Source organism: Homo sapiens, chromosome 9 (genome assembly GCF_000001405.40).
Source record: "Homo sapiens chromosome 9, GRCh38.p14 Primary Assembly".
NCBI classification, from domain to species: domain Eukaryota; kingdom Metazoa; phylum Chordata; class Mammalia; order Primates; family Hominidae; genus Homo; species Homo sapiens.
The window spans coordinates 100,418,788-100,425,285 of NC_000009.12; positions in this window are offsets into that span (position 1 = coordinate 100,418,788).

A 6,498-nucleotide genomic window follows, 5' to 3' on the forward strand; every position below is an offset into this window, starting at 1 on the left:
CCTGAAGTCGCTGTAGGTCAGCCAGTTTGACAGACGGGAAGGAAACTGAATATGGACAAGGTCAAGGACAAACTAAAACCTGTGAGGACAAACTGTGGCCCACAACGAACACTAGACCCTGCCTCTGTCTCTCACCAACTCTAACCTTGATGCTCATGCTTTCATTGTGGGTCAGAACTCAGGGAAGCTAAAGGAGCTGCAGGACCCAGTGCTGCCCCATGGCATAAGGTTAGCCAGTGATCATGACATGATGTCCCACCGCCTATTGCCCAGGAAGACCTTCAGAGTGTAAAAGACATGTCTCCAGCTTCCAAATCTCCACCTTCCAAATCTAACCCAGAATGTCTCTTAGGTCCATGGCTAAGCCAGAACTATACAAGGAACAGAATTCTGGGAAACAGTACCAAGTTAGCTTAGCTAACCTGACGTAGTACAAAGCTGCTGCGTCTGGTGTGGAGGTTTTAAAATATGTCTATGAATACTTTGCTATGGGGAAAGACAGTCACCCTTTTGTGAGGTTATTCAACCAGTGTATGGGGAAGCTCATAAAGAGGATTGACATCTGAAAAACAAAGAGTTTGCTTTCAATCCCTAACAGCTGTTTCAACATTAGTCGCTACTACCCTCATCTTTTCACTCAAGTTTCTAATTCAGCAACAGACATAGATGGAGAGCAACTGAGCCCTCTTACCAAAAACCAGCACTAACTTGACAACTGTGTGTGTGTATGAGCCACCTTGGAAGTCTATTCTCCAACCCCAGGCAAGACTTCAAATGACTCTTCCCCCAGGTGACATATTGCTGACTACCTTAGGAGAGACCTCAAGGCAGAACTGTTTGGTTAAGCTACTTCCTGATCTTCAGAGACTGTGAGATAATAAATGATGGTTGATTTAAGCCTCTAAATATTAGAGTAATTTGCCGTATAGCAATAAGTAACTATACACCTAGGTATCAATTATTTAGAGTAATCAAGTACTCCAAAAACAAGTAGTAAAAGCTTCAGAGGCCGAGCGCAGTGGCTCACGTCTGTAATCCCAGCACTTTGGGAGGCTGAGGCAGGTGGATCACAAGGTTAGGAGTTTGAGACCAGCCTGGCTAAGATGGTGAAACCCCATCTCTACTACAAATACAAAAATTTGCTGGGCATGGTGGCACGTGCCTGTAATCCCAGCTACTTGGGAGGCTGAGGCAGGAGAATCTCTTGAACGCGGGAGGTGGAGGTTGCAGTGAGCCAAGATCACACCACTGCACTCTAGCCTGGTGACAGAGCAAGACTCTATCTCAAAAAAAAAAAAAAAAAAAAAAAAAAGAAAGAAAGAAAGAAAAAAGAAAAACAAACAAAAATTTCAAAATCCATGTATTATGGGCTTGTAATATGTTCACCAAAACTACCTCAACATCAAATTGTTGTGGCACCAGCAAGTCCAGTGGCCAGTACCTTGCAAGTCTAGCCATTTTAAAATCAACAAAGTGGGCCTCAGGAAAAGATGGGGTGTAGACATTTGAAATGCACGAGTCCTGGAATTTTCATGCAGCCTGGATTTCTTTCTGACTCTGTCCCCCACGACTTCCTGACCCGCCACTTTTCTAGGTTGCTTTTCAACTCTGGCTTTTGGGCTTCTCAACAGTTCTACCTGTAGCCTCTTATTCAGCGCTCCAAGCTCCTCCCCTCATTTGCTCCCTGGACAGCTGGATTCTGCAGGTTGAGGTATTTCTATTTCTCTCAATACCCATTTATTATAAAAGATATTTGAATATATCTGGCAATCTGAAGAACAGTTTCCATTTTATGGAAGGGGATGTTGAGATAGAAAATCAACTTTATGTGTGCATTGGTAAGATCATAAAGGGCATCACTGCTATTTCTTGAAGCTTCCTAAAAGCTATCCTTCTGCTTGGCTGTTGTTTGATGTTGCATTTACGAGAAATCTGCAAAGAGGCAGACTGGCAGTCAGAGATTACCTAACAGGATAACTGTACCTTGGTGGAGTCAGCACAGATCAAAGATTATCCAGTTCACCGGGCGCAGTGGCTCACACCTGTAATCCCAGCACTTTGGGAGGCCGAGGCAGGTGGATCACAAGGTCAGAAGATCGAGACCATCCTGGCTAACACGGTGAAACCCCAGCTCTACTAAAAATACAAAAAATTAGCCGGGCGTGGTGGCGGGTGCCTGTAGTCCCAGCTACTTGGGAGGCTGAGGCAGGAGAATGGCGTGAACCCGGGAGGAGGAGCTTGCAGTGAGCCGAGATGGCACCACTGCACTCCAGCCTGGGCGACAGAGCAAGACTCCGTCTCAAAAAAAAAGAAAAACAAAAAAACAAAAAAGATTATCCAGTTCTTCAATATGTGATGATAATAGTTAATATTTATATAGAAACCATCAAATTGATTTACATATAAAATTCATTTAATCCTCTCAACAATTCTGTGATGTAGGTACTCTGCTTTATAAGATCACTTACTTTTTTTTTTTTTTTTTTGAGACACAGTCTTGCTCTGTAGCCCAGCTGGAGTGCAGTGACGTGATCTTGACTCACTGCAACCTCTGCCTCCTGGGTTCAAGCAATTCTCCTGCCTCAGCCTCCTGAGTATGTGGGACTACAGACACGCAGTACCATGCCCGGCTAATTTTTGTATTTTTAGTAGAGACAAGGCTTCACCATGTTTGCCACTCTGGTCTTGAACTCCTGACCTCAAATGATCCACCCACCTTGGCCTCCCAAAGTGCTGGGATTACAGGCATAAGCCACTGCACCTGGCAGGTCACCTACTATTTTATAGTGACAAATTTTCCAGGAAAGTCTCAATTTCAAAGATCTTGTTTCATTATTCTCATTAGCTATCAAAATACTTGAGAAGTTGCAATATTTTAGCACCTGAACTGCATCATCCAGACTGCCTCTACCATCAGAGAGTGGATCCCAAATACATTTTATACTATTTATCCTAATTTTTGGCTCAGAAAATATGGTCATATTAATAGAATGATTTCAGTGTAGCTACCTACCCATGCCAACTTCTGGTGAATACCCTCACTTACAGCCCTTGCTTGTGCCAGGTGGCTATTTTTGTCCCGGGTGATACTGCCCCTCCATCTCATAACAGCTGATTGGATCGGAAGTGGACTTCTAATCCGAAACTAGTCAATTCATAGATTGCCGTCTTGTGTCCTGGCTTGAAACAATGGATTGAGCCCATAGGTTTTGTCTGGGTAAATATGAACCAAGAGACAAGGAGGAGGTTTCCTTGTTGACCTTGGGCTGTGGTGTCTATGATGACCAAGCACAGCATCAGTAAACAGAGGGAGAGTGGTGTAACCATACAGAAAGACTGAGAGACAGCTGGGCGTGGTGGCTCACGCCTGTAATCCCAGCACTTTGGGAGGCCAAGGCAGGTGGATCACCTGAGGTCAGGAGTTTGAGACCAGCCTGATCAACGTGGAGAAATCCCGTCTCTACTAAAAATACAAAAATTATCTGGGTATGGTGGCACTTGCCTATAGTCCCAGCTACTTGGGAGGCTAAGGCAGGAGAATGGCTGGAACCCAGGAGGCGGCGGTTGCAGTGAGCCAAGACCGCGCCACTGCACTCCAGCCTGGGCAAAAGAGCCAGACTCCGTCTAAAAAAAAAAAAATACTGAGAGAAAAAGAAAGTTGGAGAGGCAGAGACATAGAAAGACACACTAATTTCAAATGAGAGACAGAGGAAAATCGGTTCCCAGTGGCTTTTTTTTTCTTTTTCTTTTTGAAAAAGGGCCTCTTTCTGTGGCCCAGGCTAAAGTACTGTGGCACAATCACAGCTCAATGCAGTCACCACCTCCCTGAGCTCAGATGATTCTCCCACCTCAGCCTCCCACCACACCTGGCTAATTTTTGTATTTTTTGTAAAGACGGGATTTTGTTACGTTGCCCAGTCTGGTCTCAAACTCCTGGGCTCAAGAGATCCACCTGCCTCCGCCTCCCAAAATGTGAGGATTACAGGCATGAGCCACTGCACGAGGCCCCCAGTGGCTTTTAAGTTCCTTGAAGTCCTTCTCAATTTGGGTTCCTATCTTTCAACACCTAAGATTCAATAAACAGCCTTCTCCTGTAGCAAGTTTGGATGAGTCTCTGTTCCTTGCCACCAAAAGAGCCTGAGATGAAAAGAGCCTCTAATATCCATATATAATTAGACTTTGGGGAGACTGGATTTGCCAGTTAAAATCATAACAGACAGATGGATAAGCTAAACACCAATTGATTAATTTTCAAAGACAGCTGTACTTTCATCGCAGAATTCTAGAGTGTTGAGAGTTGGATGTTCAGGGCATTTTCCCTCATTTAAGAAAATTTTGTCCTGCCAGATGCATTGGCTCACGGCTGTAATCCCAGCACTTTGGGAAGCCGAGGCGGGTGGATCATGAGGTCAGGAGTTTGAGACCAGCCTGGCCAACATGGTGAAACCCCGTCTGTACTAAAAATACAAAAAATTAGCTGGGTGTGGTGGCGTGCGCCTATAATCCCAGCTACTCTGGAGGCTGAGGCAGGAGAATCGCTTGAAACCAGGAGGCGGAGGTTGCAGTGAGCTGAGATCATGCCACTGCACTCCAGCCTGGGCGACAGAGCAAGATCCGTCTCGAGAAAAAAAAAAAAAGAAAGAAAAGAAAAGAAAATTTTGTTGAAACCAGGCTGGGTGCAGTGGCTCATGCCTGTAATTTCAGCACTTTGAAAGCCTGAGGTAGGAGGATTGCTTGAAGCTTAGAAGTTCAAGACCAGCCTGGACAACAAAGAAAAACCCCCTTTCTACAAAAATAAAAATTTAAAAAATGAGTTGGGCATGGTGGTATGCTCCTGTAGTGTCAGCTACTAGGGAGGCTGAGGTGGGAGGATCGCTTGAGCCCAGGAATTTGAGGCTGCAGTGAGCTATGATCATAACCTGCACTCTGGCCTGGGTGACAGAGCAAGACCCTGTCTCTAAAAGGAATAAAAAAGGAAAAAAAAAAAAGATGTCGTTGAAATCAACTACTATATCAAGACTGCTTGGTGAGCCTGGATCCTAGCAAAAAAGATACAATATGTATAGCTATTCTCAGCAACCTGTGGAGCGCAATGCATCACTCATCTCCATCACAGGAATGGATCTCCTGAAGGGACCCTCCAGCATTTGAAAAAGGGACAAGTCACATGGATGAGTTCTTTATGGTTTTCTTTTCCTAGACTCTGTGTAGACGCTGCCCTTCTGTTAACACTTTCTACAAAGAAACTGTAATAGCTTTATTATTGATAAAATAGCTCACATTTATTGAGTGTTTTCTCTGTGTTTTCAAGAAACCTATTTAATTTGATGTAAGTGATCCAAAGTAAAAAAAAAAAAAAAAAAAAGAAAAAGAAGTCAGTTGTCCAAGGTAGCATGCAGAACTAAGTCAGGGATCAAGGAGAGAGCTGGGAAGGCAGCCACCATATTGCAGGCCTGAGTAGTTACCCTGCCCCATTAGTTTTTAAGATAGTCTGCTCTCTTTGTTTGAGGAGAGACACATGACTAAATTTGAGTTTCCCATGTCTCCTTAGCAGTACACCTACATGTGGCTCATGTCAATCACCATTATTTATTTATTTATTACAGCATTAATTTTTTTATTTTTAAAATTTTATCTGTTTATTTATTTTGAGACCAGGTTATGAGACTGGCTAATTTTTGTATTTTTGGTAGAGATGGGGTTTTGCCACGTTGCCCAGGCTGGTCTTGAACTCCTGGGCTCAAGCGATCCACATGCTCCAGCCTCCCAAAGTGCTGGGATTACAGGCATGAGCCACAATCTTCATTATTTAAATCAATAAAATAACACTGATCATTTGCTGAAGTTAAGACTAGAAGCTTTTATCTACCCAGCCAGGTAGGCATCATATTCCCATCTTAGAAATGAGAAAACTGGCCGGGCATGGTGGCTCATGCCTGTAATCCCAGCACTTTGGGAGGCAGAGGCGGGCGGATCACGAGGTCAGGAGATCGAGACCATACTGGCTAACATGGTGAAACCCCGTCTCTACTAAAAATACAAAAAAAATTAGCCAGGCGTGGTGGCAGGCGCCTGTAGTCCCAGCTACTCGGGAGGCTGAGGCAGGAGAATGGCGTGAACCCGGGAGGTGGAGCTTGCAGTGAGCCGAGATTGCGCCACCACTGCACTCCAGCCTGGGTGACAAAGCGAGACTCCGTCTCAAAAAAAAAAAAAAAAATGAAATGAGAAAACTGAGATTCAGGAGCTTAACTTAGTTCACGTTTATCTAGTGCTTTTTCCACACTGTATCACTTTATCAATCAAATTTCCAATCTGAATTGACCTTCCAATGTCACACCCCAATAGTTTTCCCTTGACCGTATCTGCATGTAAGAAGGGAATCTTCATGGACTTATAATATGGCACTAAGTGGAAAACAAGTGTAAATGATGTACAGCCTTGGCTTTCGGTGTGGTATCATAGCTTGTTTGCTAGCACATTGTAGCAACTCCCCTGGTA